Here is a 13,318-nt window from a genome sequence, read left to right on the forward strand (position 1 = left end):
CCTAATGCTTCCTAGAAAATACTAGCTTTCCTAAGAATCACTCTTGTTACTATTTCAGACACCCCAGACCCACGGTTTCAGGTCCCACAGCCTGGGTCAAGTCCATCGTGGTGATGGAAGAATTAGTACTGGGCAACCAGGCTAATCAAAATCTGAGAAGATATTTATTTATTTATTTATTTAGAGATGGAGTCTCACTCTGTCACCCAGGCTGGAGAGCAGTGGTGCAATCTCGGCTCACTGCAACCTCCGCCTCCCAGGGTCAAGTGATTCTCATGCCTCAGCCTCCCGAGTAGCTGTGACTACAGATGTGTGCCACCACACCAGGCTAATTTTTTGGTAATTTTTAGTAGAGATGAGGTTTCACCATGTTGGCCAGGCTGGTCTCGAACCCCTGACCTCAGGTGATCCACCCACCTCGGCCTCCCAAATTGCTGGGATTACAGGCATGAGCCACCGCGCCCGGCCTATTTATTTATTTTTTGAGATGGAGTCTCGCTCTGTCACCCAGGCTGGAGTGCAGTGGCATGATCTCAGCTCACGCCTCCCAGGTTCCAGCAATTCACCTGCCTTAGCCTCCCGAGTAGCTGGGACTACAGGTGTGCACCACCACGCCAGGCTAATTTTTGTGCTTTTAGTAGAAATGGGTTTCAGCATGTTGGCCAGGCTGGTCTCAAACTCCTGACCTCAGGTAATCCGCCCACCTCGGCCTCCCAAAGTGCTGGGATTACAGGTGTGAGCCACTGCGCCTGGCCTAAGTCTAAGAAGATCATTTATTGATTCAACAAAATACAATGTTTAAAATCTATAACACAGTGAAAAGCATGGGCTTGTCACCCAACCAAATCCTGGAAGTTGTGAGCAAACTTTGAAGTAGGAAGACAGTACTTTGGGGACAAATAAAAGGAAACAATTTCACACTGTCAGTAGTGTGGAACTAGTTGCCCCCAATGGGTTTTAAATTCAAGTAGGGTGCAAGAGTGGTTTAGAGAAATTCCTGAGTGGCAAATGAGGAAACCATGGGCTCTCTGAGATACAAGCCCAGTCTTCCGTAGGGGCATAGCCACGGCACAATGCTCTCCTGACCTAACGTCCTTAAAACCTTGGTCAGAAGTCAGACCATTGTGCTAATGCGTGAGGGTGTGCGTGGGGATGGAGGGTGGGGTGGAACTCCTGCATAGTTAGCAACCCTGCACCAAATCCTGGCAACCTTCCAGAGCAAACCCTCCACCATGTCATGCTAATAACAGCAGACCTAGGAACTGACCCTATGCCACGCCGTCTGGACCCGCATACAGTCATAGTGTCCAGGTGGCTTTGTGAGTCACCCAGACCCTCCGAAATAATCCCACTGCGGGTGGGGCTGCCTTGCAGTTTCTGGCCCCTTCCCACCCTGACTCAGCTTTCCTTCCACGAGCTCCTATTTCTTGCCGGGCAGAAGCCGCCGCGGTACCCGCTTCACCGGGCATGCTCAGTCCTCCGGCCAGGCTTTGACTGCGGGACGCCAGCGTCCGGCCCCCTGCGCGCGTCCGGAGTCCGGGTCCCTTTAAATCGGGCAGGCTCGTTGCTAGGCAACCGCGCGGCCCGCGCTGGCGCTGCACTGCGGTGGCTCAGCCCGGAGCCGGCCCGGCGGGGTCGCGGTGGCCAGAGCCGAACGGGGGGCTGCCGCGCGCGGGTGGTGGTTGTCTTTGAGGAAGAGAGGTTCGGGCTCTCCAGACGGCATCCACGCTTCCAGGTATGTCTGCGGACGGGAAAGCCCGGGCTCCCCCGGGCTCGCCCCTCTTCTTCCCGGACACAGGGGGCGAAGGGGCGGGGAGCCAGGGGCAGGCGCCCAGGTCCGCACCCCAACCCCCACTGCAAGTTATTTCTGTCCTTAGAGCCCCAGGCCGGGGCTGGAGAGCGTTTGGGAGGGAAAGGACCAGGACGTGGGAGTGGCAGTGCGGAAAGAGGAGTGGGGTCAGGCCTCTCCCGCCGCCCGCCAGCGACTAGGTCGGGACTGGGGAGGTGGAAAGTGTCACCTGCAATGGGGACCGAAGCAGCGCCCCGACCCCGAGCCACCTTCTCTCCTCGGGAGGCAACGATGGCAGGAGTTTCAGTTAACAATTTACAGAGAAAACTCCCAAACTATGCATACAAAGATACAGCTTTGTAGCAAGAATGTGACTCTCATACTAATAAAGTCTCAGCCTTCGGAATTAAGGTGACTCCCCGTATCTTTTCTTCTAGAAGGAATAACTTCACACTAATAACAAAGAACTGGGGAGTAATAAGCATTCACGGGGCCCAGTTTTCAATGGTACTTTTCTTCCCCCTCAATAGCTGCCAAGCAATAGAGAAGACAATTTGTCCCGGGAAGTGGACACTTTGGCCCATATATTAGGACCCTGACAGATGAAGGCAAAAATCAGGATGACTTCCCTTTTCGATGTTTTTTTGTTTGTTTGTTTCAAATTAACTACACTCTGAGGGAGGGAGGCAAGGCCTGGGCTCCAGCCTTTTGCTAATGCGGTTCCTGGCGTGCTCATTAACAACAAGCCAGGGTGGCTCCTTTGCTCAATAGGTGCTAAAAGTGAGGAGGTACTGTGTTGAATAAAATTTCCTCATGATTCTTGTCCCATTTGATATCTGTATGGCTTGGGGAAGGAAGACTTAGTGGCATAATAGTTGGGGAAATGGGTTGACAAAAAGAGAAATTACCTCTTAGTGTCTGGTATCACATTTCAGATAGACCAAATGACATTCTAAATATATCACTTGTCTTTTTTTTTTTTTTTTTTTTTTTGAGGCGGAGTCTTGCTCTGTTGCCCAGGCTGGAGTGCAGTGGCGCAATTTCGGCTCACTGCAACCTTCCCCTCCCTGGTTCAAGCGATTCTCCTGCCTCAGCCGCCTGAGTAGCTGGGATTACAGGCGCGTGCCACCACGCCCGGCTAATTTTTGTATTTTTAGTAGAGACGGGGTTTTGCCATGTTGGTCAGGCTGGTCTCAAACTCCTGACCTTGTGATCCGCCCGCCTCAGCCTCCCAAAGTGCTGGGATTACAGGCGTGAGCCACCGCGCCTGGCCATCACTTGTCATTTTAATCTACATCTCAGATATAAACACGGGTTTGGGCATTCTGGTTAAATGTATTTCCTGATTACAGGGAGGGAGGCGGAATTTTCTTTTTTCCAGTTCAAACTGGAGAAGGAGGGCAGAGATATCCAGTAGACAGAAGATCTTGGACCCCAGGAAGTGTAAGTACAGTCGTGTTAGCTGTTATCTTTTTGGGGTGTTTAGAAGCACAGAGCCTTACGCAACATAACTCTTCAGCCTTGTAATTGATCGTCTGCATTGTCAGTAAGCTCTCAGGAAGGCCTCATAAAAATACAAAGGAAAAGTGTCCTGAAGACTTCAGCTAAGCCAAATAAACTTCAAGGGAAAAATAAAAGTGCTTTCTCTAAAATACCATCCCCCAAAACTTTTTAAGCCAGAGGAGAAATTATGTCAAAAAAAATTTTTTTTAAACTAAATTAGAATCAAAGCATTGTAGAGATTTCAGGAAGAATATTAAGGATCATTCATTAAACAAATATTTATTCAGGGCTACTATGTGTCAGGTAACAATGCCAGGCCATCATAGCATATTTGTATAATAAAGGTCTGTGTGAAATGCCACAGAAGCACAGGAACAATTCAGAGTGCAAAATCATCCTTGCTAATCTTCAAACGAATACTCCTGTATTTCTGAGAAGTTATTGGTGCCTCTGAAATACAGTGGGACATTTGGAAAACTCTTGGTAAAGCAATTGGTGATTTTAAATTGCCAATATATTAGGGTGTAGAAAAGACTACCACTTTTTTGCTTAGATAAAATCAATTCAGCTTCAGAAATTTGGGGACATCAACAACTAACTTACAGAAGTTAGGGATAATTTTTCCCTGAAGATGCAGATTAAATTAATCTGAGATTGGAGTTTAGGCTTCCTTATATTTATTTTAATAGTGCCTACTTTTTTTTTCAAACTAACTTTTTCTGAGGTCTGATGACTTCCGGCTGGCCACTTTGGAGTACATATCTCTGGAGAAAGTTTAGGTTGTTTAACTGGCTGGTTTATGTTCAAAGGGAGGGTAAGGAAAACCTGAAAATGAACAAAACCCATTGTTTACAGTACACTTTAAAAGTTGCTTTCATTTCCATTTTCATTCATTTTTCTTAATCACCTGTGAAACAGGTATATTGTCCCTATTTTACACCTGAAGAATCTGAGGCTTGCAGTTCTAAAATGTGGGGGCCAAGATATCTGACTCCTTCAGTCTTTTTTCCACCATAGTCCACACTCAGTTCCTTTCTCAGGAACTTCCTTTTCCTTCTTCCCCACAATGTTGCATGGTAAAACATATTGATCCATCTTAACTTCAGACAGTTCATTTGGGTCCTTCTTTTGGTATTTAATGGTTTTCTGCAAGTCAGTGAAAAAGGGTGGAGAATGGGGAATCTCCCCTATAGGGGGCAGGTCAGAATCTTCTAAGGAAAGAGGGTAATGATGGGAGTGTTTTTGTGTCTGGAAACAGTGGAAGCAGGAAAAAGAGAGAAAAAAAAGGTTGAGAACCACTGCTCTGAAGTGAGAATAAATTGGACAGTTGAGAAGGAAGCAAACCTAGTGATTTCCTTTGTAACAGATTTTTTTCCTATTTTGGTGGAGCAGTTTTTCTAAGAGTCCAGAGAACAGACCATCCAAGAATAAGGGGAGAAAGTTCTTTATGTTAAGAGGAGCCCTTTGTCTTCACCTTACTGCCCCTAGGCAGTGACTAAAAGCCATGCCCCTTGTTGAGAGCTACTAAGCGACTGAGGATAATGACAGGTTACTCAACACGGGTTGGAGATGACCTTTTCCAACCATCATTCCCAGTTTACAAAGTTTGAGAGGAAGGACCCTTGTGAGATGGGAAAGAGCCTTTGGCATTCTTCCAGAACTGTTTTCCAGTCCCTACCTACTCTGCCTGGAAGAATAATGGAATTTTGCAGGCAGATCTAAATTTGTGAAGAGAGATGGTCCTGAAAATTTGAAACCAAATTCTTTTTTTTTTTTTTTTTTTTTTTTTTTTTTTTTTTAGGAGACAGAGTGTCGCTCTGTTTCCCAGGCTGGAGTGCAGTGGCATGATCATAGCTCACTTCAGCCTCAACCCCCTGAGCTCAAGCAATCCTCCCACCTGAGTAGTTAGGACTACAGGCATATGCCACCACACCTATCTAATTTTGTTTTTAATTTTTGTAGACACGCATCTCACTATGTTGCCCAGGCTGGTTTTGAACTCCTGACATCAAGTTATCCTTCCGCCTCTGCCTCCCAAAGCACTGGGATTACAGATGTGAGCCACTGTGCCCGTGTAAATGGGATAAGGCAACAGAAAAAAAAAATTGATTTATGTCATCAAATTTCCCTAAAGCCTGTGATTTAAAATATGAATATTTTAGAAAACAAATAATTAAATTTCACATCCGCTTTAATATGATTATACTCTCTGGGGCCCCAGCTGAAAAATGAAACTGAGATGGTTTGTGGATTTCTCCTTTCAGAGTAAACAGTAGTGTATTATTTTATGGAGCTATTTGAGAATAGATGTGCATTCCTCTAAGATTTTTATGGAACAGTGCACCTATAGGTCCATTGTAAATGACTGTTCTTTGCTTAGCTCTCAACATTTATGTTACATCATGTTATATATAAATTCATATTCAATTTATTTTATCAGTGGTTCTCAAATTCTTTAGGTGAATACAAACCACTTTCATGAGACAAGAGATCTCTCACTCCACAAAAATGTCCTATTACTTTGCCACTGCAAAAAAAAAAGTCACCTGAGGATAAATGATGATGTTTTCAGTGAGACACTAACTAGAACCATCAGGAATCCATTATTAATTCATGTCAGACACAAATGAATAGATGTAGTCATATTGTAGACACATACGCCTTAACAGTGCAGTCCTAAGGGCTTCTGGGGGATTGCTATCTTAGAGGACTACTTGTCCTATGACTTTGTATTGTTTTCCTGTCTGTGTTCTAGATTATTTGCTTCTAAAGAAACCAGTTTTTCATCCCCATTGGGCCTCCTTCCCCTACCCTTCTGACCTTCAGTATCCAGTGTAGTGTTGGGTAGGCACTTATATTAATAAATGTCCACAACTGACCCACTAACAGGCATGCCTACACTTTCAATAATGGCTTCTGGTTTGGTTTGCCTTATGCTGGAACAAATTACCTAGTCAAGTTTATTGAGAACAAAATGGCTACCAGGCCAGGGTAGAGGAGTGTCATTGCCTTAAAGCATATTCCTTGTTCTTGCCAGAGAATACTAATGCCATACTCGTTCTGCATAAAAAAACAAACAGTACAATTTGTGAAGAGAAAATGAGACTGGCAGCTTTTACCCCGAGTCTGGGATTTGCCACATTCTGTGACTAGATTTGGGAACAAGCCCTTAAAGGATATCTTGCCAATGAAAGAGAGAAGAAAAAAAAAAGAGCAGCTCAGAGACTGCTTGACCCTGCCCTGTGTAAGCCATGGGAGGGAAATTCCAAAAGGCTTTTCAAACCTTTCTCTTTCTGTTCTTTGAAATGTGACATGCAGTTCTCCTTACCCTCCCCCCTTCACTTTTCCTCTCTTCTTTTGTGGCCTTTTAAAAGATACCTAAGCTCTGAAAATAGTGAGTTGTTTTCTTTCAATATGGGGAATGAAACCTAGCAGATGAATAAAGAAGAATTTTAGAACAAGCACTGACCTGAGAGACAGGGTCCTCAGTTTTACTACTATGGGCTGTGTGGCCTTGGTCAAGTCACTTAACTTCTCTGGGCCTTAGTCATAAATGGGCTCTTCCCATTTCAGTAGCTATATAGGCTTCACTGAAAGGCATTTCCTTTCAGACACCAGGAAATTATACAGAGGCTCAGGGAAGAGAGACAGTGAAAATTAAAAAGTGTGTGTGTGTGTGTGTGTGTGCATGTGTGCATATGTGTATGTGTTTTGCCAGAGATTTATGGGATGGTTGGATGTAGAAGTAACTTTTTCAAGGAGCAAAATTATTAATGAAAAGAGTTTTTTATTTTAACCTTTATCCATACCCAGACCTCTATCTCAGATAGAGATATTCTTGCTATCTCCAGATATAAAGTGTCCACACTTTACTTGCCCCTGTGCTCACCTCCTTCCTAATCAATCCCACCAATGCCCTTCATCCAGAATTAAGTAAGAGGAATAGTAATCTCTCTGCCATTGCTACCTGATTAGAAGCATTTTTATCATCTATATAATTGTTGGGTAAAAATTTGACTGCTAAAAAATGTGACTGGCAATTAACATCACCCTCTTTTCTCCTCTCTCTGTTCCTTTCCTCTATGATTGCTGTAATAATTCCTACTGATTTGCATTCATATTTCTAGAGATGAGGGAAACCAAGATAATGATATTTCCCTTTAAGAACAGATCAATCAATGATGCTTCTGGATGGTGACTCGTGGAATAATGAAAGTCAGAAAGAACTGTTTCAAAAGAAAGAAGATGATGCTCCAATGGCAAATATATATTGTGAATTTAAAGTCTGAGTTTATCATTGTGGTCTGATTGACCTCAAGAAAGCTTGGCTTCTGGCTTTTGGACCAATCATTTTAGTACCTTCACTGAACTCTCCAAATAGTTCATCTTAAGAATATATGTACCTTCTCCTTTCCTCAAAGCCAAGTAGTTGCCAGTAGGGATGTACTCTTGGGGATGGTGAGTCCCTTCCATCTTTTGTGGGGAAAAGGGGAGAGGAGAGGTATGTTCAGTACCTGTAGGTATCAAGTTTATTCCTTCATTGCTCATAGTAAGGAAAACCTGTGTTATTTAAAAATAAACTACTGTTTGTAAAAAGAAAAGAGAAGATAATACACCAAAAAGTAGTTATCTCAGGGCCATGAGATTATGAAGGAGATTCCTTCTGTTTTCTGTGCTTTTCTCTGTTCTCCAAAATTGTTATAATAATCAAAGAAAATATTAATTAAGAAATAAATGCAACATTTGCCATTTCTCATTACCAGCAGAAAATTACATTTGAGTGCATAGATAAAAGAGATGCAGGCATACTTTGATTTTTCTACATGGTGATACTACAAATATGTTTTGGTGAATTAATATATAAAATGAATAAAGTGACCCTCTCCTTCTTCTCCTCACCCTTTAGGGCTAACTTCAGCTACCAGTTGGTGGCTTCAGGTGCCAGTGGCCCTCCACATACTGCTCTGGTTCTTCTTTCTCCCTTCCCTCAGAAGTAGTCACTTATCAAATATTTCAGTGCTGTGGGAAAGCTGTACATTAAGGATGTACAGCTTTGGGTAGGGAAGACTCTTTTTGGAACAAAATAATCATCCTCATATTTTTATAAACTTGGAAAGTTGGTTGTGATTTAGTATGCTGAATTTTCACCTAAAAACTACACTCAGAGTCAGTATCTTGAGAAAAACACATTTGGTGGCATTAATATTTTCAATTGTTGACATTAGATTCTCCTCATGAAATTGCTGTCAAAATGGATAGAATTCTGTACACTTGGCAGTCTTGCCTAAAAGCAAAGCCCAAGACTGGAATAGCAGGAATTTATAGGTCAAGACAGAAGGGCATTTGGCAGAGTTAGTCATAAGGAAGTCTGCATGGTATACTTTACCAAAAGCAGCTCACATTTCATTAAGCCCTGATGTTTTAGTCACTTTAAAGAATGAATTAACAATAGTCCAATCCAAAAGAACTAGAAAGGCATCAGACACATTGAAAGCACAGGTATTACCAACATTAACCTATTAATTTCAAATCACTTTTTTTTATTTTAAAGCAGTCTGTTTTTATGTGTACAGTTGTTTTCTTATAGAATCACTTTCTCTGTGTACAGTAAGTAGCTAAATGTGTCAGTTTACTAGTTCTATTTCATAGGATGAGAGACTTTTAAAGCTGGAAGCATCTGTAGAACTTAGCTCTTTCAGCCCTTTCCATTTATAAATGAGGGGACTGAGGCCCAAGCCATTCAGTGAGTTAGAGAGAGAGCCAGCCCTCAAATGTTTAGATTCTTCACCCGTGAGCCAGCATTTTTATTTCTTTCTACTATATTAGCTACTAGTGTAAATAATGTGCCTGCCTTGGTTTTAAATTTTGTTTTTCAGATATTGGAAGAGGTGCCTGGAGAAATGGATGCTAGAAGAAAACACTGGAAGGAGAATATGTTTACTCCTTTTTTTAGTGCACAAGATGTTCTAGAAGAGACTTCTGAGCCTGAATCTTCTTCTGAACAAACGACTGCAGATAGCAGCAAGGGAATGGAAGAAATTTATAATTTGTCCAGTAGAAAGTTTCAGGAAGAAAGTAAATTTAAGAGGAAAAAATATATTTTCCAACTAAATGAAATAGAACAAGAACAAAATTTAAGAGAGAACAAGAGAAACATTTCAAAGAATGAAACAGACACAAATTCTGCATCCTATGAATCATCTAATGTGGATGTTACAACAGAAGAAAGCTTTAACAGCACAGAAGATAACTCTACCTGCAGTACAGATAACTTACCAGCTCTACTAAGACAAGACATAAGAAAGAAATTTATGGAAAGAATGTCTCCAAAACTTTGCCTGAATCTTTTGAATGAAGAACTGGAAGAACTTAATATGAAATACAGAAAAATAGAAGAGGAATTTGAAAATGCTGAAAAAGAACTTTTGCACTACAAAAAAGAAATATTCACAAAACCCCTAAATTTTCAAGAAACAGAGACGGATGCTTCAAAAAGTGACTATGAACTTCAAGCTTTAAGAAATGACCTGTCTGAAAAAGCAACAAATGTAAAAAACTTAAGTGAACAGCTCCAGCAAGCCAAAGAAGTCATCCACAAATTGAACCTAGAGAACAGAAATTTAAAAGAAGCTGTTAGGAAGTTAAAGCATCAAACCGAGGTTGGAAATGTGCTCCTAAAAGAAGAAATGAAATCATATTATGAATTAGAAATGGCAAAGATCCGCGGAGAGCTCAGTGTCATCAAGAATGAACTGAGAACTGAGAAGACCCTACAAGCAAGAAATAACAGAGCCTTGGAGTTGCTTAGAAAATACTATGCTTCTTCAATGGTAACATCATCAAGTATCCTTGACCACTTTACTGGGGATTTTTTTTAAAACTTAAAAAAATCCTTCCAGTAGGCAAGTCATTGAGCCAAATCAGTGTTTATTGTATTTTCTTTGCGTATTACTTAAAATATATGTAATAGGATGTTATTTTCATTTTCAGTAAATCACAGTATCTATAAAACATATACATGTTTCCAAGCTTCTGCTTTCTCTTTCTGATGAAGTTATTGCAGGAATACAAATGGAAACGAAGCTTTGGAAATCTCATATCAGAGTGTGTGTGTGTGTGTGTGTGTGTGTGTGTACACACACACATATATTCACTCAAAAACACATAATGATTCACCAAATCATTTATGAATACAAATCAGCAATTTTGTGATCTCGTAAGCAAATATGTCTTTGGCACGTGAATATTTTTCCATCTGTGTTCATTGATGTTAACAATAAAAATCTTGTTTATGTGTATAAGCCTAACATATGCCTGTGGGTCTTATAACTGCCTGTTCAAACTCAATGGGATACCAAAAATGTATCTGCTTACTTTGGGGGTCTAACTTTAATTCGGTACATATAAACATCTCTGGAAAAAAATGTAGTTTTTTTCTTCCCCCTGCTGTTTTCCCCAGGCTTTCTCCTTTGACCTGGCCACGGTTCCCATAGACTACAAGACGACTTAGAGACATTGCTGTGACCTTTTGCTAGAGCCCTGCTCTTGCCAGCAGTGGCTTTTGTGTTTTCTTATGTTGACCAGTAAGGGGCATTGTTTACACAGTTCTTCCAAAACTCGACCAGGGGAAAATTTCGAAGCTTCCTCCCCGGCTTACATCACAAGTTGGCGGGGACTGTGGTGAAGTTGGATGTCATCTGGATAAACTTTTAGTGAGCTGGCTTGATTTTTACAGTAATCCAGCCCTGTAAGGGCTCCAGGTGATGACAATTTATTTTACACTTATACATGGTAAAAATGTACTGCCTCAATCCTTGGGTGGAAGTGATGGGCCAGTTGACTCTTTACCATTTGTTTGTATCAGTCATCAAGATATCCTGTAATAGGAGCTCTATTTGCATGGTGTTTTAAAGCCTAATAAACCAAATGTAATTGCACACTATGAGGATGAGATACAATTGTTTTAAGGGTTTAGGTGTCTTCCCTGTTGGGAAAATCCCTAGACTGGGAGTCAGGACATTTGGCTTCTAGTACCTGCTCTGCCAGTAACTAGTTAACTTTCTTCCCCTAAAAGTCCTCATCTATAAAACAAGGCAACAGATCTATCATCGAGATTCTGTTCAGTTCTAATGTTCTGTGATTTCACCTCAATGATTTTATTTGCAAGTGTAACTCTACCTGTAAGGAAGTAAAACTCCTATGGCATTGGATGCATTCAATTCTTTTTTTGTTTTGTTTTGTTTGAGACAGAGTCTTGCTCTGTAGCTCAGGCTAGAGTGCAGTGGCGCGATCTCGGCTCACTGCAACCTCCGCCTTCCGGGTTCAAGCGATTCTCCTGCCTTAGCCTCCCGAGTAGCTGGGATTACGGGCGCCTGCCACTACACCCGGCTATTTTTTGTATTTATGTATTTATTTATTTATTTATTTATTTAGTAGAGACAGGGTTTCACCATCTCGGCCAGGCTGGTCTCGAACTCCTGATCTCGTGATCCACCCATCTCTACCTCCCAAAGTACTGGGGTTACAGGCGTGAGCCACCGCACCCGGCCTGGATGCATTCAATTCTAATACTTTGGGGGACCTACTTTGCAGACTCCCTTTGAAAGAAAATATAAGCAGGGTCCTTTATATAGTTTGAACATCTCCAAATACTATGAATAATAAATCAATAGAGGTTGTTTCTCTACCTTTCTCTTGTTTCCTCTTTATTCATTAAGGTTGGGGAAGGCACTGAATGGATACTGACTAAGCTGACCTGGAGGCTGAACAAGTCTTGCCTTGCCTGGGAGGACTGGCGTAAATTGGAAGATGCTAATCTTTGGAGCTCTGTGACTTAGTCCTGATAAACCTAACCCAGGCACTGGCAGCCTGCCTTAAAGGGGGAGATGACTTTCAGGTTTTTAGTGGTCACTGGCTTCCCACCAAGGGTCTAGGTACGAAAGCAAACTAGGAACTCGTTGCCCTATTTTACTTTCTTCTTCATCACCCCCTTATAAGATTGCCCCTTTGTACTTGCCTCATAAGACGCTCATTCCCTGAATGCTAATGTGCAGAGCTGCTTACATGTTTAAAAATTTTACAATGTATTAATTAAGCTACTAGGCTCAATCCTTTCAATATAATTTTTTTTTAAGAGAGAGAGGGGGACAGGTTCTTGCTGTGTTGCCCAGGCTGGACTCAAACTGCTGGGCTCAAGTGATCCTCCCCAGTAGCTTGGGCTGCTGGCATATGCCACCATGTCTGGCTAGTATAATTCCATTTTAATTCCATTTTCTTTTTTTTTTTTTTTTTTTGAGACGGAGCCTAGCTCTGTTGCCAAGGCTGGAGTACAGTGGCACGATCTCAGCTCACTGTACCCTCTGCCTCCCAGGTTCAAGCAATTCTCATGCCTCAGCTTCCTGAGTAGCTGGGATTACAGGCAGCTAATTTTTTTTGTATTTTTATTAGAGATGGGATTTTGCCATGTTGGCCAGGCTGGTCTCAAACTCCTGAGCTCAAGGGATCCGCTCACCTCAGCCTCCCAAAGTGCTGGGATTACAGGCATGAGCCACCATGCCCGGCCTATAATTCTGTTTTCAAAGAGGAACTTTTATTCCAGGAGTATTTCTATGAACCAACCATACATTTAAGGTTTTCAGTGACAATTTGGTTTATCTTGCATGAGTGTGTATGTGTGCTTGGGGGCAGGGAAAGAGTGGTGGAAGGAGGGCCAGAGACATTAAGTGTATGGCTTAGACTAGGTCTAGGGCAGGGGGTGGGGTTTCTATTTCTAGGTTGGAACTAGAATACAGATTCTTGGTGAGACAGCCTGAAATACTAAAACCCAGCAAGGCCTGCCCTGTGGAAAGATCCTATGGAAAGCACAGGTCCAGACACTAACCAGGGAGGTAATATATACAATCACTAACTTCAGAGGGCCAAGGAGAAAGGGGAGCTAAGGTCACAGACCCAACAGTTTGGAATTAGGAAGGGATTGCATCAAAATAAAAGCAGGGCAGGAATAAACTGGGAGAAAGCTGTGCTATT

The 13,318-nt window shown here is 42.1% G+C and overlaps 1 protein-coding gene across 3 annotated transcripts, besides 2 other annotated features; it reads left to right on the plus strand.

Annotated features, from left to right (window-relative positions):
* Window positions 1-1,573: 1,573 nt before the first annotated feature.
* CCDC160 (coiled-coil domain containing 160) lies at window positions 1,574-11,234 on the plus strand. Of its 3 annotated transcripts, none has more exons than NM_001353453.3 (3): window positions 1,574-1,735; window positions 3,142-3,232; window positions 9,169-11,234. In NM_001353453.3, the coding sequence occupies exon 3, from the start codon at window positions 9,193-9,195 to the stop codon at window positions 10,168-10,170; it is 978 nt and encodes a 325-aa protein (NP_001340382.1). In that variant the 5' UTR covers window positions 1,574-1,735; window positions 3,142-3,232; window positions 9,169-9,192; the 3' UTR covers window positions 10,171-11,234. The 3 variants fall into 3 exon arrangements, with proteins under 3 accessions (NP_001340382.1, NP_001380925.1, NP_001094827.1); NM_001393996.1 differs by having other exon boundaries at window positions 3,171-3,232; window positions 9,169-10,599; NM_001101357.3 differs by lacking the exon at window positions 3,142-3,232 and having other exon boundaries at window positions 9,169-10,599.
* Window positions 4,430-5,049: an enhancer, noted in NCBI's record as "NANOG hESC enhancer chrX:133374068-133374687 (GRCh37/hg19 assembly coordinates)". NCBI's record gives its function as "activates a minimal SCP1, AML or CMV promoter by ChIP-STARR-seq in primed H9 embryonic stem cells {active_cell/tissue: H9 hESC(primed)}" and the evidence as "EXISTENCE:reporter gene assay evidence [ECO:0000049][PMID:30033119]".
* Window positions 11,680-11,879: a silencer, noted in NCBI's record as "fragment chrX:133381318-133381517 (GRCh37/hg19 assembly coordinates)". NCBI's record gives its function as "represses an EF-1alpha promoter that drives an FKBP-Casp9 reporter gene in an ReSE screen in K562 erythroleukemia cells {active_cell/tissue: K562}" and the evidence as "EXISTENCE:reporter gene assay evidence [ECO:0000049][PMID:32094911]".

Source organism: Homo sapiens, chromosome X (assembly GCF_000001405.40).
Source record: "Homo sapiens chromosome X, GRCh38.p14 Primary Assembly".
In the NCBI taxonomy this organism is placed as follows: domain Eukaryota; kingdom Metazoa; phylum Chordata; class Mammalia; order Primates; family Hominidae; genus Homo; species Homo sapiens.

Excerpts from the sequence above, each read along its gene's own strand:
- CCDC160 (NM_001353453.3), top strand. The coding sequence starts at position 9,193 with ATGGATGCTAGAAGAAAACACTGGAAGGAGAATATGTTTACTCCTTTT.